The 23,954-nt window shown below is 41.5% G+C and overlaps 1 annotated feature.

The window, feature by feature from the left end:
- Nucleotides 16,695-17,194: an enhancer, noted in NCBI's record as "H3K4me1 hESC enhancer chr4:124356795-124357294 (GRCh37/hg19 assembly coordinates)". NCBI's record gives its function as "activates a minimal SCP1, AML or CMV promoter by ChIP-STARR-seq in naive H9 embryonic stem cells {active_cell/tissue: H9 hESC(naive)}" and the evidence as "EXISTENCE:reporter gene assay evidence [ECO:0000049][PMID:30033119]".

A 23,954-nucleotide genomic window follows, 5' to 3' on the forward strand; every position in this document is an offset into this window, starting at 1 on the left:
AGAGTATTATTAAAACACTGAAGAGTAACCAAGAAAGCACTCCCTGGAAGATGCTAGAGAAACAGCGTCATTTTAAGCCATGCATTTTGACTCAGGCTGTAAATCTATATGTTTTATGAGGTGAACAATTTTCATAACTTGTTGACATTTATTCAAGGTCTTTTTGTGTTTTACACATAATTCAACTCTAGAATTCTCCTGTTTGTTAAAATAGCTTCAGCTTAAAAAGGCTTTATTTCCCATTACATTTAATCATTAGCCACAAATATTCTTATGAAATGGTTTTAGGGACTGGGCACTGTGGTTCATGCCTGTAATCCCAGCACTTTGGGAGGCCAAGGCGGGTGGATCACCTGAGGTCTGGAGTTCGAGACCAGCCTGGCCAACATGGTGAAACCCCATCTCTACTAAAAATACAAAAATTAGCTGGGCGTGGTGGCGGGCACCTGTAATCCCAGCTACTTGGGAGGTTGAGACAGGAGAATCTCTTGAGCCAGCGGGGCAGAGGTTGCAGTGAGCCGAGATCACGCCATTGCACTCCAGCCTGGCAACAAAAGTGCCTGGGCAACAAGAGTGAAACTCCAACTCAAATTAAAAAAAAAAAGATTTCAGGTGCTTAACGTGTAGAAAACAATGTTTTATTGCCCTTTTATTGTGTCTTGGGTAGTGATAGGGTGTTTACCTTAATACTTGGAATAAATATTTTTAGACCACTCTTCTCTGTGAAACATATTGTGTCCACCTGTGACAAGGTAGGTGTGTAGGAGTACTGATTGATTGATTCATTAAATCCTCAACAGTTACCAAGCACCTACTCTGCCCCACATCCTGGCCCCAGCACTAGAGGTGGAAGGATGATGGAGACCTTGTCCTTAAGGAGATTATGGCAATCGCTTTCCCACATTCTTTGGAAAAAATGAGTAATCTCAATTTTAATACATCTACAATTGAAATGTGTAGGCAGCACTCTTGATAAAAACGTTAAGGACTAGGCTGGGCGCAGTGGCTCACGCCACTGCACTTTGGGAAGCCGAGGCAGGCGGATCACAAGGCCAAGAGATTGAGACCATCCTGGCCAACATGGTGAAATCCCATCTCTACTAAAGATGGGTGTGGTGGCGCGTGCCTGTAGTCCCAGCTACTTGGGAGGCTGAGGCGGGAGAATCCCTTGAACCCTGGAGGTGGAGGTTGCAGTGAACCTTGATCGTGCCACTGCTCTCCAGCCTGGCGACAGAGCGAGACTCCGTCAAAAAAAAAAAAAAGGAAAGACTAGGTCATATCTGATACCCCAAGTAACTTATTTTTAGAGTGAACAAAGTCTAAACCAGAAGTTAGTGGCTTTTTGTTCCAAGCCACTTCTAACTAGCAACGTGAAATGTCACCTTACTCATCTGCTTTTGAGTAATGATGAACAGAGAGAAGTTGCTTTAGTAGGGAATTTATATGTCGTTTAAAACCAGAGCAGCTTTTTCTAAGTGTGTTTAGACACCCTTGAGAACAGTGTTTTAAGTACAGAGGTGTACAAAGGTGAAGGACCCCTACATCAATTAATTAGTCAGTCCAGACTTGCTGAGCACCTGGGACGCGTTCAGTGCTGTGCCAGTGGTGTGGATTTAGGAAAAAAGTATAAGCTCTTGATCTCCACTAAGAGCTGGATCAGGAGGCTGACCTGGCAGCCGGAAATGGGAAAGCATTTAAATCCTCTTATCTGCTGATAAAAGTAACATGTTTATTGTAACATTGTTTTTGAAAATGCAGATGAGTATAATGAATTAAAAATGACACATAATCCTGCTACCCATTTCTTAGTTACAAATGGGCTTTAACAATCATTTGGATACATTATTTACCTGTCTCCTAGTGTCTTGAACTTTCTTTTCCATTTTTTTTTTTTTCTGTCTGAGATGGAGCCTCACTCTGTTGCTCAGGCGGGACTGCAGTGGTGCGATCTCAGCTCACTGTAGCCTCTGCCTCCCAGGTTCAAGCAATTCTTCTGCCTCAACCTCCTGAGTAGCTAGAATTACAGGCGTGCGCCACCACGCCCGGCTAATTTTTATATTTTTGGTAGAGACGGGGTTTCACCATGTTGGCCAGGCTGGTCTCAGACTCCTGACCTCGTGATCCTTCTGCCTTGGCCTCCCAAAGTGCTGGGATTACAGGTGTGAGCCACCGCGCCCAGCCATGTCTTGTATTTTCTAAAATAAAAATTTAGGGGAACACTCCTCTACTTTTATTTTTTATGATCTTCTAAAACTCATTGAATCTTTAGAATTGAGGATTTTAGTAATCTTTCAGGAAACAGTCACTCTGAAGACCAAAATTTGTGTTTTGTTTCATTTACTTCCCACCTTTCTATCTTCTTAATAAAGTGAAGTTGTTTTCAGAGAGTTGAAAAAGAGAAAAACTCAACTCGTCCATTTAAGCTTTCTAGTACTTATCTAGCTAAGCACATTTATTGCAGGAAAACTAACACTGATGATAAGCAAAAGAGCACTAAGGAAGTTTGGATTGCCAGTGAAAATGTAGAAATTCAGTGGCAAGAATATATGTTTTCTATTTAAAAGAAACTATTACTATCTAATATTGCCAACAATTACGACAAAATAACCTCGTAAAGAAAAACTTTAAAAAAAGTGAACCTTGTTTTGCTGTGAGAGTCAAGCAGCTGTTCCATCCCTCCCAGCGCCCCACTAGCCTACCACTTTTTATGTTAACCACATTAATCATGATAATAATTTCCCTTAAGAAACTTTGCCTCTGAACACTAATGCTCATCATTTTACCCAGTGACTGGGTTGGAATTACGTAACCAACTTTATTATCACTGTCATTAAAATCAGCATATATCTCATTCTGGTTGTACAGGAAGCGATTGCTTAAAGTATCCATTTAAAATATGACTTAATGTTTAGATAGTGAACTTATATGTTTATCATGTCAAAGCCTCAGAGAAGTATTCTGTTCTCCTTAAGTGCTCTAAATGGCTGCTCAGTTACATACAGTTGTGATTGGCTATGCGTATATCCACATAGTTATTGATATTAAAAAATATGAAAATGATATCAGTAGAATGCTCAAGTTCTATTATTCTCTTGTTCCATGCATTAAACGAACTTTTTAGTTGTAAGTAGTGTCTTCAGTGCACATCATTCTCGTACTAGAACGATGACATCTTTCATCTTTTCCGATGAAAGAACTCATTTGCTAAAACAACTGATGTACTTAGGAAGAAGTGACGATCTTTTTATTTAATTAACCTTTTACTCCTAGATAGGTAGGTGTTCTGCCAAAAATTAAGGTATTTTAAAGCAGCAATGAGCTCATTTAATTTCTCTATTTTAAACAGAGTGCTTTTGATGGTTTACTAGACACGACATCACAGTTTCCTGTTTCATATTTGAAATAAGCAGGGTTGGAGAAAACTATTTGCCGTGAGTTTTGAAACTCTGGGGACAAAAAGCCCCTGAAAAGAAGTCTCAGAAGCATAGTGGCTTTTTAAAATTATATAAGGGAATTAAAACCACAATACTGATGAGCCAAACAAACATACGCTTTCCCTCCCACTTATCCCCTAAAAGAAAGAGAAAAGTGAAAATGGGAGAAATTGAATGATGGAGATCATTAATTAAGCCTGTCACTCACTCATAAGGGCTCTCAGCATTTAAAAAAAAAATTTTCCTCCCTAATCACAACCAATGTAGCAGTTTGTGTCTTGGCAAAATTGTGTTTCATGTTCTCAATTGAGAAAGGGAAATTTAAGGTACAGTTAAATTTTAAGGCTCAATAAATTACTTGTATTTAGAACTTAGTGGTGATAGTGAAGGTGGGACTGGGATGTTTAATAATGTGGTAAATAAAGAAAAAATACTGAAACTTTTTTTCAATTATTAGGGAATTTAAGAAAAGATATTTGACACTACACATAACTCTTGTGTATGTGTACATATTATTTAATTACTTTTTAAAAAAGCAACAACAAACGGTTCTACAGAAAAGAAGATACTTCTGAGATCCATGCAAACCACTGATAATTCTTAAGAGTTACACTCAGTTCCTAGAGAGGAAGTGATACATATATGACTGTTAAATTGAAATGATAAATTACAGTAATTTTTAAAGACGGAAAATAAGAATTTTAAATGAGCAATTTAACAGAAATGTTTTGTAAGCCCGATCTATATACACCCATAATAAGGAGTTAGGATGCACTAAATTCTCTCAGAGAAGCAATCTAAAATACCTGAGCCTTTGGAGGAACAAATGGTCATTTCCTGAGGTGAGTGGAGGGAGCAAACGTGGTTGGGGGCAGGATGGAGGGTGGGAAGGGGAGGGTGGGTGGAGACTGTGGGCCAGGCTCCCGGTGTATGGTAGTGAACAAGACAGACATGGAGTTTACAGTCCTTTCTCCTCTTTTCTCCTAATTACATAGGCAGAAAACCGTTTTGGAACGTTCGTATTTTCAGTACTAGTACCCTCCTAGCTCTGTATTCCAGATATTGCTCCCTTAAGAGAGGAAAGAGATTTTTCTCTTGTGAGATTTGTTTATTCTACGAAACTCAAAAAGTCTGGTCATTTCCCATTTTCCACATAGGAGCCCAGGTCACCAAGTAGTGCAGTCGTCAGCTGGGGTTCCTGTCATGTCAATTCTTAGTGCCAAAACATGGGATTTGAACTCCTGCTTATTTTGTGATTGAGTCCTCTTCAACCAAAGGCTGCTAGGATTGTTTCTGTAATCTCCATTCCCTGAACTTAATACTCAGTCCCAGATAACTTACTTTACTTATGGTTTGTTTTTCTCACTGTATTATAAGTTCCCCCAAAGGCTTGAGGTCTCTCTTTTTCTATCCTTTCACCAAAATTCTAGCTCACTATACACTGAGCTTATTATACCCAGGAGTAGCTGGACACCGTTCTAAGAACTTTACATGAATTATTTTATTTGATCTTCTCAAAAATCATATGAGGTCGCTAGCATTATTATTTTCTTTTCCAGATGAGGAAACCCAGGCACTGTGAAGTGAAATAACTAGCCCAGGTTCCCACAGCCAACCAGGATGTTAACTGTGGTTAATTGACTGCAAAGCCTGTGCATAATTTGAGCTTACAAACTACCTCCGATTGCTGTAGCCACAAATTTCTAGGAGAGTGGCCAGTGCTACTTTTCTACGAAAACAGAAATCAAGAAACAAAGACCAACTCTGAATGAAAACGAGAATGATTGTATCTTTTATTTTAAAAGGACTTAACATTTTTCCTTTTTCCTAACTTAAAAACAATGCAAATGTGTTTTTGTACTTTGGCCTGTACTTCCTTGGGTTGGGGATGGAGATGATGGGTGGGTGGAAAGGGGTAAATTTTAAAGTATCTTTTATTAATACAAATGGATAATGTCTTAACTTTGTTGATACAGAATGATACCAGGTTTAATAAGATTCTAAAATTGAGTTGAGCCATCCAACCGTGATGGGAGATGGGGGAATAGGTTGGACGATGGCTGATCTTTCCAGCCTAGCAATGACCATGAAAGGGCTTATTTTGATTCTGATTTAAATTTGTACTGTGCTATATTATATGAGCTTTATGTAGGCCACTTGCCTTCTCTTTTCTTTTTTCTTTTCTTTGTTTTATTTTTATTTTATTTTATTTTTGAGACAGCGTCTCACTCTGTTGCCCCCGCTGGAGTACATTAGTGCAATCATCAACCATACCTCACTGCAATTTTGAACTACTAGGCTCAGGGGATCCTCCTGCCTCAGCATCCCAAGTAGCTGGGTCTATGGGTGTGTGCTACCACACCTGGCTAATTTGTTATTTTTTGTAGAGACAAGGTCTTGCTTTTATTTTCCAGGCTAGTCTTAAACCTCTCATCTCATGTGGTCCTCTTGCCTCAGCTTCCCAAAGTGCTAGGATTACAGGTGTGAGCCATTGCATCTGGCCGCCTTTGCTTTTACTAATGGCTAACCCCAACTCTGGGGAAGTATCTAAGATCATGCAAATAGTTGGCTAGTCAGTAAATAACATTGAAGTTCATTTCCTGAAAACTATATAAGGAACCATGAAGAATCAACAATTAGATAGTAAGCTTTGTGGGAGTAGGGATTTTCTTCATTAACTTTTGAAACTCCAACACCTAAAACTGTGCTTGGACTATAGCATTGTTGCCACTCAAAATATTAGCTGAATAAATAGACACTGCTCTAAAGGAGTCTTCAATCTAATTGAGTGAGAGGAGACCAATATACAGACAACAACCAATAAATGTTATGGTATGACATCTAGTGAAGTATGTATTTTTATCTTTTAATTTTTAATTTTTATGGGTACACAGTAGGCCTATATATTTATGGGGTATATGAGATATTTTGATACAGGCATACAATGCATAATAATCACATCAGGTAAATGAGGTATCCACCACCTCAAGCATTTATCATTTCTTTGTGTTACAAATATTCCAATTATACTCTTTTAGTTATTTTAAAATGTACAACAAATTATTGTTGACTGTAGTCATGCTGTTGTGCTATCAAATACTAGATCTTATTCACTCTAACTATACTTTTGTACCCATTAAGCATCCCCACTTTTTCACCCCCTGCCTAGTACCCTTCCCAACCTCTGGTAACCATATTCTACTCTCTATCTCCATGAGTTCAACCGTTTTAATTTTTAGCTCCTACAAATGGGTGAGAACATGTGAAGTTTGTCTTTCTGTGCCTGGTGTATTTCACATAACATAATGTCCTCCACTTCCATCCATGTTGCTGCAAATGACAGGGTCTCGTTCTTTTTTATGGCTAAAGAGTACTCCATTGCATATATATATATATATACCACATTGTCTTTTATCCATTCATCTGTTGATGGACACTTAGGTTGATTCCAAATCTTGGCTATCATGAATAGTACTGCAGTAAACATAGGAGTGCAGCTATCTCTTCAATATACTGACTTATTTTCTTTTGAGTATATATCTAGCAGTGGGTTTGTTGGATCATATGGTATTTCTACTTTTAGTTTTTTTAGACACCTCCATACTGGTCTCCATAGTAGGTATACTAATTTACATTCCCACCAACAGTGTATGAGAGTTCCTTTTTCTCCACATCCTCACCAGCATTTGTTGTTTCCTATCTTCGGGATATAAGCCATTTTAACTGGGGTGAGATGATATTTCATTGTAGTTTTGATTTACATTTCTCTGATGATCAATATGTTGAGCACTTTTTCATATACCTGTTGCCATCTGTATGTCTTCTTTTGGGAAATGTTTGTTTAGAAATGTTGCCCATTTTAAAATACGATTATTAGATCTTTTCCTATACGGTTGTTTGAGCTCCTTATGTATTCTGGTTATTAATCTCTTGTGAGATGAATAGTTTGCAAATATTTTCTCTCAGTCTGTGTGTTGCCCCTCCACTTTGTTGAGTGTTTCCTTTGCTGTGCAGAAGCTTTTTTTTTTTTTTTTTTGAGACGGAGTCTCACTCTGTCGCCCAGGCTGGAGTGCAGTGGCGCGATCTCGGCTCACTGCAGGCTCCACCTCCAGGGTTCACCCCATTCTCCTGCCTCAGCCACCCGAGTAGCTGGGACTACGGGCACCCGCCACCATGCGCAGCTAATTTTTTTTGTATTTTTAGTAGAGGCAGGGTTTCACCGTGTTAGCCAGGATGGTCTCGATCTCCTGACCTCGTGATCCGCCCGCCCCAAAGTGCTGGGATTACATGCGTGAGCCACCGCACCCGGCCGCTGTGCAGAAGCTTTTTAACTTGATGTGATCCCATTTGTTTATTTTTGCTTTGGTTCCCTGTGCATTGGGTATATTACTCAAGAAATCTTTGCCTAGACCAATGTCCTGGAGAGTTTCCCCAATGTTTTCTTTTAGTTGTTTCATATTTTCAGGTCTTAGTTTTAAATCTTTAATCCATTTTGATTTGATTTTTGTATATAGTGAGAAACAGGGGTCTAGTTTCATTCTTCTGCATATGGATATTCAGTTTTCCTAGCATCATTTATTGAAGAGTCTGTCTTTAATGTATGTTCTTGGAATCTTTGTCAAAAATGAGTTCACCATAGATACATGTTTGTTTCCGGGTTCTCTATTCTGTTCACTGGTCTATTGCCTGTTTGCATGGTAATACCATGCTGTTTTGGTTACTATAGTTCTGTAGGAAATTTGAAGTCAGGTAAATTATGATTAAAATATGATTCCTCCAGTTTTGTTCTTTTTGCTCAGGATGGCTTTGGCTTTGGCTGTTCTGGTTCTCTGGTGGTTCCATATAAATTTTAGGATTATTTTTTCCATTTTTGTGAAGAATGTCATTGGCATTATGATAGGGATTGCATAAAATCTATAGATTGCTCTGGGTAGCATGGACATTTTAACAATATTGATTTTTCCAATCCATGAACATGGAGTATCTTTTCCATTTCTGACATCAATTTTTTTTTTTTTTGATGGAGCCTCACTCTGTCCCCCAGGCTGGAGTGCAGTGGCACAGTCTCGGCTCACTGCAAGCTCCGCCTCCCAGGTTCACGCCATTCTTCTGCCTCAGCCTGGGACTACAGGCACACGCCACCACGCCCGCCCGGCTAATTTTTTGTATTTTTAATAGAGACAGGGTTTCACCGTGTTAGCCAGGATGGTCTTGATCTCCTGACCTCGTGATCCACCTGCCTCGGCCTCTCAAAGTGCTGGGATTATAGGCGTGAGCCACCGCGCACGGCTGGCATCAATGTTTTATAGTTTTCATTGCAGAGATCTTTCATTTCTAGGGAAGTATGGATTTTAAAACAAAGCTCCCCAGATAATTCCCATGACCAACCAGGTTAATGTCCCTTGGCCCAGTGCAGAGGTTCTCAAACCTATTTTCTAATAGAACAATTTATGACCAAATGGTATTACCTGAAAGTCAGTATATGAAAGAGATTAATATGTAGTCACTCCACTTGAAGAAAGAGGGGTACTGGGGAACCCTTCTTTTTCCCTGACCTTTTCAGCCTTTCCTTTTTTCCTTCCCCACAACCCCTAGGAATAGTGGTAAAACCACGGATCTAATTACCAAATGTGCAGTCATTCATGGAGTGCTTGCAGGGGACCTATGAACCTTTGAACGATATGCAAAAAAGTGTGTGTGTGCTTCTTTCCTGAGGACAATTCACATTATCAAAGAATCTTTGACCCAAAAAAAGGGTAAGACCCACCCCTCCCGTATACAGGAAAGGTACTTTCTTTCTATGCACTATGCATAAGCTTTTTTTTTTTTTTTTTTTTTTGGTGGGCAATTACTGAAGTTTGGATACTTTGTAAAAAAACACAAGCATGATTTTTAGATGCTGCCCCTTATCAATTGGAAACTAGACTGGAACCATTAAACCATTTCACCTGGATTACTATCACACAGCAGTCAGATGGTACTTCCTTCACAATCTTTTCTGTGGTTGAATTTGGCCCAGAATTTTTTGTTCCTGATCTACCTGAATCTTCAGTTTCCAAATAATCCTCTGCTATAGAAAAAGAAACACAATCTCAAGACTTTTTAATAACAAGTGCAAGACGCCTTTCATACCCATACATGTGTGCTTTTTCCAGAAGTTTACCAATGGTTTTTTTAAAAAAACATTCTAACCAAAATAGATATTTTCTAAAGCTTCACATAGTGTGATGCTCAAACATTGCTTAACTGATCCCTGGGCTTTCCGTACTGCCAGGTAAAGGAATACTGGGAAACTACAGAGTATATACAGCTTGGTTCTTTATTTCTGGTGTTCTGTTTCTTCTTTGAAAGCTATTGCAAAATTAATATACATATGTAGATTAATTTAGCATGCTTATTACTCCTGGTACCAAATTGTCCTGTATCAAATAGGGATCACTGATGTTCTCTGAAGGGCAGTAAGCTAGGTGGTAAACTCACTTATAAAATATTGACTTGGGGTAAGGCGTGGTGGCTCACACCTATTATCCCAGTACTTCAGGAGGCCAAGGCAGGTGGATCACCTGAGGTCAGGAGTTCGAGACCAGCCTGACCAACATGGAGAAACCCTGTCTCTACTAAAAATACAAAATTAGCCAGGCGTGGTGGTGCATGCCTGTAATCCCAGCTACTTGGGAGGCTGAAGCAGGAGAATTGCTTGAACCCGGGAGGTGGAGGTTGCGGTGAGCTGAGATCACACCATTGCACTCCTGCCACTCCTGCCTGGGCAACAAGAGTGAAACTCCATCTCAAAAAAAAAAAATTGACTTGGGTTACTAGGGTAAGTGGAGGGAAGATGGCTACAGGATATTATCACCACTCTTTCAGATATGGCACTTCCTCCTCACTTCAGTTGGATTTGATCATTTAGTTCAACACATTTATAAAGTTTCTGCTAGAGTTCTGGTGATACAACAGTGAATAGGTAGCTACAGTCCTCTCCCTCACAGAGCTGATGCTCTAAGTAGAGACACAGACAATTATAAACAAGCAATGATAATATGCTATAGTTAATGCCATGGTGCTATGGAAGTAATGTGTGATATGAACATGCTAAAACAGATGAATAACAGTTTTTTTTCTGGGATGCTTGTCTTTCCTATCGTGACATATGGAAAAATAATTGCATTAGTCTGTTTTCACGCCTCTAATAAAGACACACCTGAGACTGGGCAATTTACAAAAGAAAGAGGTTTAATGGACTCACAGTTCCACTTGGCTGGGGAGGCCTCACAATCATGGCTGAAGGTGAAAGGCACTTTCACATGGTGGCAGACGAGAAGAGAACTTGTGTAGGAAATTCCCCTTTATAAAACCATCAGATCTCATGAGACTTATTCACTATCATGAGAATAACACGGAAAAAATCTGCCCCCATGATTCAATTACCTCCCACCAGGTCCCTCCCACAACATGTGGGAATTGTGGGGGCTACAATTCAATTTGGATGGGGACACAGCCAAACCATATCAATAATTGTATATATATTCCATGTGGAAGCTATCTGGGAAGTCCCTACCCTTCCTTTTCCATAGGGCATTATGTAAGTCTATTCTTGTGTTGCTATAAAGAAATACCAGAGGCTGGGCAATTTATAAAGAAAAAGATTCATTTTGGCTCACAGTTCTGCAGGCTCTACAGGGAGTGTGATGCCAGCATCTGCTTCTGGCGAGGGCCTTAGAAAGCTTACACTCATGGCGGAAGGTGAAGGGGAGCCAGTGTGTCACATGATTAGAGCAGGAGCAAGAGTGAGAAGGGGGAGGTCCTAGACCTCTTAAACAGCCAGAACTCAGCATGAACTGAGTGAGAACTCACTCATCACCAAGGGGATGGTGCTAGGCCATACATGAGGGTTCCACCCCATGACTCAATCACCTCCCACGAGGCCCCACCTCCAACACTGGGAGTCACATTTCAACCTGAGATTTGGAGGGGACAAGTATTCAAACCCTGTAAGGCATATGTCTAGGTCTCTTCCAGGGAGGGGAAGTCTGGGGGATCACAGTCTTTACGATTTCTTCATCTGGGCCTACAGCATTTAAGCTGTGTCTTCTCTGTCCATCCAAACCCTCTTGATTTTTCTTTAAGAAATTACTTACAGTTCTGTCAGTTTTATCCTTTCTTGTACTCTAATAACGCTTCAGGAGTTATCCTTCCCCATACTATCTTTTCTATTCTTTCAAAAGGTTTTAGGTAGAAGGGAAGGTAGATACCTGTGCTCAGTCCCCATCTTGATCTCACCTTCCATATAAGGTTTAGCCTACTCCTGCTCCACCTACTCGGTGCAAAGTTCTTTCTCCAGAGACCTCTTATCACTCCCCTATCAGAATGTTGCTTTACTTATTTCTCCCCAGTTAATTGACTCTACAATACAAGATTGAGTTTTTATGGAGGTCTGTTATATTTGTGAAGAATTTCAGGAAGACCTTACTCAATTTTTTGAGTTAGCAAATCTAATAACATATTTTTTTTCCAACATCCATACATGATTGATGGATTTTAAGTATTATCCTAACACTTGTTGCTGATATTTTGTACATGTATCCTCTGGGCTTTTACCTCATGCAACATGTTATTTCAGTGCACTATTTTTGTGCCATAATAAAATAACTAAATATTTTTGCTCCTGATTTCTTTGACCTTTCCTTTCCCTAGGCATTAACCTTCTCAGGGAGAGGCCTTGAAGTCACATCCTAGCAAATGTGTAGAATCAGAAGGGCCTTCTGTCCTCTTCCTACAAAATGCCCTGCTGCTGCTGCTGCTTCTTTCATTTCATCCTCAAACTGCACTACCCAGTAGCACCCCACCTCTTAAGAGAGCCCGTGCAGAAAACAGTTGGATCTCATCAACAGCAGGGTAAAGCTTATCTATTCCCTAGCAATTGTTGCTAGCTAAAATGCTGTTTTACTTCAAAATCTACCAGCCAGTCTGAAAGTTAATTTGCATATAATAGCTCAAAATTATCCTTTTTTTTTTTTTTTTTTTTTGAGACGGAGTTTTGCTCTTGTTGCCCAGGCTGGAGTGAAATGGTGCGATCTCAGCTCACTGCAACCTCCACTTCTCAGGCTCAAGTGAATCTCCTGCCTCAGCCTTCCCAAGTAGCTGGAATTATAGGCATGCGTCACCATGCCCGGCTAATTTTGTATTTTTAGTAGAGATGGGGTTTCTCTGTGTGGGTCAGGCTGGTCTCGAACCCCCGACCTCAGGTGATCTGCCCACCTTGGCCTCCCAAAGTGCTGGGATTATAGGTGTGAGCCACCTCGCCCAGCTAAAACTTCTGAAGTTTTATTTTCATATTCATTGCCAGGTGTTCCTTCTCCTGGGTATGGCGAATGAAAATGTAAGGGGCATTTAGGATTCTCTTTTTTGGTGGTGACTCTTTTTTGTTATCTAGGTATTTTTTTCACAGAAATCAATGGCTGCTACTTGATTTTTAAATATTTGCTTTAGTCTAATGAAGAACTTGTGCCAGGTATTTATTTAGACACTATCTCTTTTATAAAAAAGTGTTTTCGCACAGTTAAAAAACAATGAGAGAAGTATTACTAAAACATAAATAGGGATCAGGATGAAAAGAAAAATGTAATAGTACGGTTGTAAATATCTCTGAAATTAATAAATTTGTTGGGTTTGAGTTTCCAATATGATCCAAAATTTTCACCAGACTAGAAGAAAAAGTGAAAATATTGTAGGATGAGGTTCTTAGCATTTTTAGAAATCATGGGTTGCGCTCATGGAAGATAATTTTTGCCCCAGCACTAAAATCTTAAGGATGATTCTCACTCAGAGCTTATGTAAAGGGTATTGAATATTGGGGATGGACAGTGTCCTCGAAAAAGGTGGATAATTCATATGGTTATGTCCTTGTAGTAAACCAATAAAAAGCCAAAGATATAAAAGCAAAGCATATTTTTGCGAAAAGAACTGAGTTTTTTTCAAGGGAACTTACAAGGGCTTAAACGTAGTGGCCCAAGTATCATTGTCTTCTCGTAGTTGTAGTCTTCTACAGCTCAACTTATGGTATGTGTTACGGACTGAATTTTGTCAGTTCAATGTTCATATGTTGAAGTGATCATCTCGATGTGACTGTATTTGGAAACTGGGACCTATAAGGAGGTAATCAATGTTATGCGAAGTTATAACAGTAGGGCTATAATCTGATAGGACTGGTGTTGTGGGAAGTCAGGGACCCCAAACAGAGGGACCGGTTGAAGCCATGACAGAAGAATGTGGACTGTGAAGATTTCATGGACATGTATTAGTTCCCCAAAATAATACTTTTGTAATTTCTTATGCCTGTCTTTACTGCAGTCTCTAAACATAAATTGTAAAGATTTCATGGACACTTATCACTTCCCCAATCAATACCCTTGTGATTTCCTATGCCTGTCTTTACTTTAATCTCTTAATCCTGTCAGCTGAGGAGGATGTATATCGCCTCAGGACCATGTGATAATTGCATTAACTGCACAAATTATACAGCATGTGTGTTTGAGCAATATGAAATGTGGGCACCTTGAAAAAAGAACAGGATAACAGCAATTGTTCAGGGAATAAGAGAGATAACCTTAAACTCTGACCGCTGGTGAGCCAGGTGGAACAGAGCCATATTTCTCTTCTTTCAAAAGCAAATGGGAGAAATATGGCTGAATTCTTTTTCTCAGCATGGAACATCCCTGGGAAAGAGAATACGCACCTGGAGGTATAGGCTTATGAACAGCCCCCCCAGGTGCACCTGTCTCTTATGGTCGAGACTGCAGGGGTAAAATAGACCCCAGTTTCCCATAGTGCTCCCAGGCTTATTAGGAATAGGAAATTCCCGCCTAATAAATTTTGGTCAGACCAGTTGATCTCAAAACGCTGTCTCCTGATAAGATATTATCAATGACAATAGTGCCCGAAACTTCATTAGCACTTTTAATTTCTTCCCGGTCCTGTGGTCCTGTGATCTCGCCCTGCCTCCACTTGCCTTGTGATATTCTATTACCTCGTAAAGTACTTGATGTCTGTGACCCACACCTATTCGCACACTCCCTCCCCTTTTGAAACTCCCTAATAAAAACTTGCTGATTTTTGCGGCTTGTGGGGCATCACAGAACCTACTGACATGTGATGTCTCCCCCGGACGCCCAGCTTTAACATGTCTCTCTTTTGTACTCTGTCCCTTTATTTCTCAAGCTGGCCGACGCTTAAGGAAAATAGAAAAGAACCTACGTGAATATCGGGGCAGATTGCCCGATAGACTGGTGTCCTTATAAGAGAAGGAAAAAACACAAGAACTTTCTCTGTTTCACACATGCATGCACACACACACACTCAGCACAAGCACAGAGGAAAGGCCATGTGAGGACACAGTGACACAGTGAGAAGGTGGCCATTTACAAGCCAAGAAGAGAGGCCTCACCAGAACCCAACCCCAATGGCATCTTGATCTTGAACGTTTAGCCTCCAGAACAGTGAGAAAATAAATTTCTGTTGTTTAAGCTTCCTAGTTTGGTGTGTTTTGTTATGACGATTCTAGCAGAATAGTACAATATGGCCTTCAGAATTAGTTACATAAATGATAATCCTTCAAGCTTTATCATAAGGATTTCTTGGTCTGTAAGTACCTTCAGCGGCTTAACTGAATGCAGACCTGGCTTCACATCACATATCCACCTGGCAGCTCCTCTGCTTTCCTAATGACACAGGATTCTTTTGGTGCCACTTCGCCAGCTGGAAATCTCATAGCCAGCAGTGCCTCTGTCCCGGCTTCACCTGAGCCTGCTGGGCTGGCACCACCCACAATCTGGGAGGCTGCGCTCGGCCCGTGCTACCAGCCCAGAGCCCCTGCCCGCCATGGCTGTGTGCTTGGCCCACAGCTACTCCAGGTATGGCACAACCAGCTTCCACATTGGGCGCTGGTGTCTGGATGAGGGGGATGTGGCAGCGCCCAAAAACTCAGAGATGCCAGTGTGTCCGAAATTGGCAGGTTCTTGGTCTCACTGACTTGAAGAATGAAGCCGTGGACCCTCACGGTGAGTGTTACAGTTCTTAAAGGTGGTGTGTCCGGAGTTTGTTCCTTCTGATGTTCAGATGTGTTCAGAGTTTCTTCCTTCTGGTGGGCTCATGGTCTCACTGGCTTCAGGAGTGAAGCTGCAGACCTTCGCGGTGAGTGTTACAGCTCTTACAGCAGCGTGTCTGGAGTTGTTCGTTCCTCCCTTCTGGAGTTGTTCATTCCTCCAGGTGAGTTTGTGGTCTTGCTGGCCTCAGGAGTGAAGCTGCAAACCTTCACGGTGAGTGTTACAGCTCATAAAAGCAGTGCAAACCCAAAAAGTGAGCAACAGCAAAATTTGTTGTAAAGAGTGAAAGAACAAAGCCTCGCCAGTGTGAAAAGGGACCCAAGTGGGTTGCCACTGCTGGCTCAGGCAGCCTGCTTTTATTCCCTTATCTGGCCCCACGCACATCCTGCTGATTGGTCCATTTTACAGAGAGCTGATTGGTCTGTTTTACAGAGAGCTGATTGGTCCGTTTTGACGGTGCTGATTGGTGCGTTTACAATCCCTGAGCTAGACACAAAAGTTATCCAAGTCCCCCCTAGATTAGCTAGACACAGAGCACTGATTGGTGCATTTACAAACCTTAAGGTAGACACAGGGTGCTGATTGGTATGTTTACAAACCTTAAGCTAGACACAGAGTGTTGATTGGTGTATTTACAATCCTTTAGCTAGACATAAAGGTTCTCCAAGTCCCTACCAGATTAGCTAGATACAGAGTGCTGATTGGTGCATTCACAAACCTTGAATGAGACACAGGGTGCTGATTGGTGCATTTACCATCCTCCAGCTAGGCATAAAAGTTCTCCAAGTCCCAACCCGACTCAGGAGCCCAGCTGGCTTCGCCTAGAGGATCCCCGACCAGGGCCGTGGGCGGAGCCGCCTGCCAGTCCTGGGCTGCACACCTGCACTCCTCAGCCCTTGGGTGGTCGATGGGACCGGGCATGGTGGAGCAGGGGTCAGCGCCCGTCGGGGAGGCTTGGGTTGTGTGGGAGCCCACCAGGCAGGGAAGGGAGGGGGGCTTGGGCATGGCAGGCTGCAGGTCCCGAGCCCTGCATCGCAGGCAGGCAGCTGAGGCCCGGCGAGAATTCGAGTGTGGCGCAGGCCAGCCGGCAGTGCTGGGGGACCTGGTGCCCCCTCTGCAGCTGCTGGCCCAGGTGCTAAGCCCCTCACTGCCTGGGGTGGGCAGCGCCTGCCAGCCACTACGAGTGCCAGCCTGCCGAGCCCACGCCCACCTGGAACTCGCGCTGGCCCGCGAGTGCTGCGTGCAGCCCCGGTTGCCACCCACGCCTCTCCCTCCACACCTCCCTGCAAGCAGAGGGAGCCGGCTCTAGCCTCAGCCAGCCCAGAGAGGGGCTCCCACAGTGCATCGGCGGTCTGAAGGGCTCCTCAAGCATGGCCAGAGTGGGCGGTGAGGCCGAGGAGGCGCCCAGAGCGAGGGAGGGCTGCCAGCACGCTGTCACCTCTCACCAGCAATGGTGGAGCCACAAGGGGTGTTACAGCTTTTGCTCAGGGAGTCCCACTCAAGGAGTCCAGTCTGAAGATCTGAGCCCCCAGGAAGTGTCACACTCATTTGGTCCCACTGCCTGCTCGGTAAACGGGAGTGTGGTGCCCAGCAGTATTTTTCACTCCGGTAGCGTGGCGAGAAGGAACGTGTATTACAGCTCTTTTACACCCGCTGTTCAGCAGGTTCTGGGTTCTTGTCCTGCAACCAAGAGGAATGAGGTACATGAACACTGGAGAGTGAGCAAGGCAGAGAAGAATTTTATTGGCGATAGAAAAGCTCTGAACAATGAGTGGGAACCGGAAGTGGGTAGCTCTCTGTGTGAGCAGGGCCCAAAAGCAGGTCTGTGAGGCCAAGTCCAGGGTTTCTATGGGCTCAGAATCGGGGAGTGTGTGCTGACTGGTCCATGGGCAGGCCTGGAAAAGGCACCATTCAATTGGCTAAAAGGCATTGAGGAAGTTCTCACAGGGTTGTGGACTCCACCTGGAACTGGCAGCTCAGTTTTCAGGCTTCAGGCTGTTTTGGTCGTGAAAGTCAGGTTTACCAGGGTACTGTCCCTGTCTGCCTAGGAATCTGTCTGTCTCCTGCCTCTATCACTAAGAGCTTGCCAGCCCTCCCAACACTCTTGACTTCCAAAGCAAATGGCGGTGCCTTCAGTCAGCATTGTAATGTGTGCTGTAGGTTAGTCTTACCTCTCCAACGAGCTTATAAACTCCTTCCCATCAATGGCTCTGAGCCATGCATAACTACTCTTCACCTTGCTAAATATCACATTTCACTATTTAGCAGGAGATAAAAACATCAGATTATTGAACTGCATGTCTTCCGTATTGTTCAAGTACTAAGATGGTGAATAGTTTATTTTTCCTCCCATATTTTTATCAATGTAAGTAGTTAGACAAAAGAGATGAAAGCAGGTAAAAGCAGTTCATAGTCAAGAGGTTATGACTTTAGATTTCTTTTGGTCATCTTAATTATTCTCTCATCTTTTAACTAATAGGTTAAAGGAAATAAGAATAAACAATGTACAAGAGATCCTTTATACTATGTTTTTAAAAATCTTATAACTTGTTGCCTTTACTACTTTATATTACAAATATTGATATTGGGGAAAATTTCCCCAAATGTACCTCAAATAGAACAATTTGGCTTGAACTCAGGAGTGTGAGACCAGCCTGGGCAACAAAGTGAGACCCTTATCTCGCATTACTGATAAAAAATCAAAAAATTAGCTGAGTGTGGTGGCACGTGCGTGTGTTTCCAGCTACTCAGAGGGCTGAGGCAGAAGGATTGCTTCAGCGGGGAGGTTGAGGCTGTAGTGAACTGAGATTGTGCCACTGTACTCCAGCCTGAGCTACAGAGTGAGACCCTGTCTTCAAAAAAAAAAAAGAAAACGAAAAAGAATTTGAATCAAAATATATACAGAATTGGAACTAAAATTGTGTTAAATCTGGCAATGTTTTTAGACAAACTCAAGAATTCCGGGGGAGAAATTCATGTAATTGGTGTGTTTTGACACTTTAGATACTGCATTATTAACTTTATGAATGTCAGGTATGGCCCTTTGTACAGTAGCTATTTTAAATGTGCAGGTTATAAATATTTGGTCTGATAGCTAAAAAATGGAAGACTTAGAAGTAGAAGATTATGCCCTATATCTCATGGTGGCCAAAGGCATGTTGATTGTGTATCTAATCAAAATTTTTATTTGAAAAATTCTTGTTTTCACCATGAGAGGTTTGGGTTTAAGTATTTGTGAAGTAGTAAAATATTTTACATGGTAAGCATCTAGGGTAGTGTCAACTGAATACATAGAAAGCATCACAAAAGCCTTTAGGCTCTTTATATTAGAAGTCAGTTATCAGTGAGATGGACGGGAGAAGGAAAGGAAAAGGTGCTTAGATAAACCCCTAAAGTAAAGTATCAGGCCTGGATTGATTGCTAATATGCTTTTCAGTTTATAGCAACATTTGTTTTGTTTTTTAAAAAAGTTTTGTAAGCTATTTGGCTGCACTGCATTGACTTGGCTTAGTTTGATTTAACAGGTTTGTCAATGCCTCACTAGGTGGATTCAAACAGATAAAACGTAAACCAGAAAATAAGGATATGGTTGCCTTGTCTTATGGAATGAGAACAACAGGACTGGGCCATGCCAAAATCATGCTTCTTTCTCTAGACTCATTATAAGTTGTGAAGTGGCATGATGCAATGTGAATGTCCGGACAAGTATCCCTTTTGTTGTTCTCAAGGGGGTTATGTCGTGGATTTGTTCCTTTGCAAACTCTTTACAGTTTACATAGCTGGAGAGACTCAATGCCTTGGCAGCAGCACCAGGTTTTATCTGTGGGTTTGCCCTCTTAGAGTGGCAGGAGTTAGTATATGTATCAACTGTGTTCTTTTTGCCTGTTGTTACTCTATGTTATCACTTGTTTCTTTTAATGACATGAGAAAATAATAATTTAGATGACTATTGGCCTTTCTGAAAGAGAAACAAAAAAAAAGCTCCCCTGGATTTCTCCTGCCCTTCTTGATCTTCCCTTTAACACACTGTTCTCCTGTCGAGAATGTGCAATCACTGATTTGATTACATTTTTAAGTATTTGGGCATTTGCTACTGAAAATACTGGGTGGGGGTGATAATGTCACACATCTTCCTGATGACTGCAAAACAAGAAAAGAAAGCATGCATGTTCTCCAGGCTTCTTCTGGGTCGTTTTGTTTTGGACACATTGCTATTGTACCATCAGTACTTTGGTGAGTAGCAGAATTAGAGTCATCTTGTGGAGAAATTGAGGAAATCATTAAGTATTAATAAGGATTACTGTACTACTATGACAGATTTCTTTGTTTTAGTTGCTACTTTGTAAGCCAATTCATGACCTCTTTTTTAAATTTTTATTTATTTATTTATTTTTGAGACAGAGTTGCGCTCTGTCGCCCAGGCTGGGATGCAGTGGCGTGATCTCGGCTCACTGCAAGCTCCGCCTCCCGGGTTCACGCCATTCTCCTGTCTCGGCCTCCCCAGCAGCTGGGACTACAGGTGCACGCTGCCATGCCCAGCTAATTTCGTGACCTCTTTTAGAGTCAAGAAATTCTTAATCTGACTGATACTTCTTCAGAATATGCAGTTGAGAAATTCAATAGCCAATAAACCCTAAGCCAAATGAATTCACTTTGTCAATATTCAAACAAATTTCTTCTGATTTCCTATTATATCTATAATCCAAAACTCACAGTTTAAAACCTGGTGACGGCCGGGTGCAGTGGCTCACGCCTGTAATCCCAGCACTTTGGGAGGCCGAGGAGGCTGAATCACTTGAGGTCAGGAGTTCCGGACCAGCCTGGCCAACATGGTGAAACCCTGTCTCTACTAAAAATACAAAAATTAGCCAGGCATAGTGGCCTGTGCCTGTTGTCCCAGCTAGTTAGGAGGCTGAGGCAGGAGAATTGCTTGAACCTGGGAGGCAGAGGTTGCAGTGAGCCAAGATTGTGCCACTGCACTCCAGCCTGGGTGACAGAGCAAGACTGTCTCAAGACAAAAATCAAACAACAACAACAACACAAAAAAAACCTGGTGATAATCTCCATATAGTTCATTTTCATAAAATATGTTTCAATAACCATATTAAAAACTTTTAATGCCAGCCGGGCACGGTGGCTCACGCCTGTAATCCCAGCACTTTGGGAGGCCGAGGCGGGCGGATCACGAGGTCAGGAGATCGAGACCATCCTGTCTAAGACGGTGAAACCCCGTCTCTACTGAAAATACAAAAAATTAGTTGGGCGTGATGGCAGGCGCCTGTAGTCCCAGCTACTAGGGAGGCTGAGGCAGGAGAATGGCATGAACCCAGGAGGCGGAGGTTGCAGTGAGCTGAGATGGCGCCGCTTCACTCCAGCCTGGGCGACAAAGCGAGACTCAGTCTCAAAAAAAAAAAAAAAAAAAAAAAAAAAAAAAACTTTTAATGCCTTAGCCATCTTTGATTCTATCACAAAGTTGAAAACTTCGTGACTTAATGTTCTGAAGCATCTGGGTTTCAGGCAGAGATTGACTTGCAACTTTCCTAAACACTGTTGTGAACCCAAAGAGAACAAATCCTTGAACATCTATACTAACCATTATTTGGACAAGAGTCAATCCACTTTTTTCCTATAAAATACACCATGAGAGTCTTATTTTATTTAGAGTAATTAATTATCTAGATGTCTGTTACTCAGCAATTAGGGGCAGGATGAAGGACGATAGAAAAGAGAGGATATTTTGGAAGCAGACACTCTGGGCCTTGGATTAAAAGATTTCAGCAGCGTTTTATTTATTTATTTTTTTTTGAGACTCGCTCTTGTTGCCCAGGCTGGAGTGCAATGGTGCAATCTCAGCTCACCGCAACCTCTGTCTCCCAGGTTCAAGCGATTCTCCTGCCTCAGCCTCCCTAGTAGCTGGGATTACAGACATGTGCCACCACGCCTGGCTAATTTTGTATTTGTAGTAGAGATGGGGTTTCTCCATGTTGGTCAGGCTAGTCTCAAACTCCTGACCTCAGGTGATCCACCTGCCTTGGCCTCCCAAAGTGCTGGGATTACAGGCATGAGCCACTGCGCCTGGCCAGGATTTCAGCAGTTTTAAGCACCAAAAGTGTTCCTGAAATTACTGGTGTAGTATGACATAGTATGATATTTAATTTTAATAATAATGATCTTGAATTTACAAAAATTTGTTTTTGTTTTTTATCATAAGAAGAATACAATATATTTTAGATAAAATTCAAAGAATAAAAAGTTTACTACTTGGGAGAGTAAATTCCAGTTATTTGGAAAATTGTACTATGTGTAGAAACTTAAGACATTATTAATAAATGAACTACTGAATTAACCAATTAGTTCTAAATAATATAAAATGTATATTTCTTGGGTAAATGATCATTTCTCTGCTCAGATATCTAACATGGCTTCTGTTAATCTTGTGCATAAAAATCTAGCTTGCCGTTTCCAGAGTTTGCTGTAATAGTCGCCCAATAACATGTCTACTTGGTTCACATCTATTCTCCCAGTGGCTGTATTACTTTCCTCTCTCTTTAACACATACTTTTTTATGAGGGGTCTTCTCACTTTCCTAGCCTAGCCACAGTGATTGGTCCAAGGGAGGGGGCATGTGACCATGGATAGTCTAATCAGAATCTTTCCCTAGGATTTTTTTCAAACAGGATCAAAGGAAGAGCTTTTCCCTGTTTAGTTGTGAAAATGTAGGGATGTGTGCCTGGAATCCCATTGGTTACGTCTCTAGCAGTCACAGAAACTACAATGTAGAAATGATAAGCTAGATTGAAAGAAATGGAAGTCCTTGGTTTGCTTTAATAAGCCAATAAATTCTGTGACCTATTTCAGTTTGTGGTTCTGTTTCTTGCATTCAAGAATCCTAGTTAATCCTTTTCCTGTCGGCCATTTTACATTATTTCTTGTATTTATAGGCTGGATTGTGAATGTCATTACCCTAATTCCATAGTTGAAAAAGTTAGCCTTAAGGAGTAAGTACCTTGACTAACATCACATGGCTATTAAGTGGCAGAAATAGTAGTTAAAGCCAACCTCACTGATGTTAAGCTTATCCTCTTTTTTTTCTTCTTTTTAACAAAATCTTAGTGTATTTTTTTGTGTTAAAATATACATAATGTAAAACTTACCATGTAAACCATTTTTAAGCGTACAGTCCACTGGCATTAAGTACATTCACATTGTTGTGCAACTATTGATTTCCAGAACTTTTTCATCATCTGAAATGAAAACTCTGTACCCATTAAACAATAACTCCCATTCCTTTCCTTCCCAGACCCTAGTAATCAGGATCCTACTTTCTGTCTCTAACAATTTGACTACTCTAGGTATCTTATATAAGTAGAAACATATAATATTTGTACTTTGGTGTCTGGCTTACTTCATTTAGCATAACGTTTTCAAAGTGCATCCATGTCATGCCATGTGTGAGGATTTCCTTCCTTTTTAAGGCTGAATAATATTCCGTTGTATGTATCTGTTACATTTTGTTTATGCATTCATTCATTGATACACATTTGCGTTGTTTCCACCTTTTGGCTATTGTGAATAATGCTGATGTGAACATGGTTGAATGAACATTCTTTTCAAGTTCCCTGTCGTCAATTCTTTTGTGTGAAATTGTTGGATCATATGGTAAGTCTGTGTTTAATTTTTTTGGGGAATCTCTATACAGTTTTCTATAGTGGTTGTAACATTTTACATTCCTACTGACAGTGCAAGGGTTCTAGTTTCTCTGCATCCTCACAAACACTTGTTATTTTATCAGGTTTTTTGTTTTTGGTGAGGTTTTTTTTTGGTAATAGCCATCCTGATGGGTGTAAAGTGGTATCTCTTTGTGGTTTTTGATTTGCATTTGGAGCTCGTAACCTTTGTGTGTGGCAGTTCCTTGCTCCCTGAAATGTCCTCATCTGTTAATCTCTTCAGTTCAGCACATCAAATACTACTGAGCAGACTCGGAATTTGTCATTCCACCTTTAAACTTGCTTGGCTGGGAGAGACTGTTATGTTCTTTTCACTCTCCCAAAGCATATCTACCCTTCTTTTATTTTTTAAAATTAATTAATTATTATTATTATTTTGAGGCAGAGTCTCGCTCTGTCACCCAGGCTGGAGTGCAGTGGCACAGTCTCGGCTCACTGCAAGCTCTGCCTCCCGGGTTCATGCCATTCTCCTGCCTCAGCCTCCCGAGTAGCTGGGACTACAGGCGTGTGCCACCACGCCTGGCTAATTTTTTGTATTTTTAGTAGAGACGGGGTTTCACCATATTGGCCAGGCCGATCTTGAACTCCCGACCTTGTGATCCGCCCGCCTTGGCCTCCCAAAGTGCTGGGATTACAGGCGTGAGCCACCACGCTTGGCTACCCTTCTCTTAAATTCTGTTTGAAATTCATCT

This window comes from Homo sapiens, chromosome 4 (genome assembly GCF_000001405.40).
Source record: "Homo sapiens chromosome 4, GRCh38.p14 Primary Assembly".
Taxonomy (NCBI): Eukaryota; Metazoa; Chordata; class Mammalia; order Primates; family Hominidae; genus Homo; species Homo sapiens.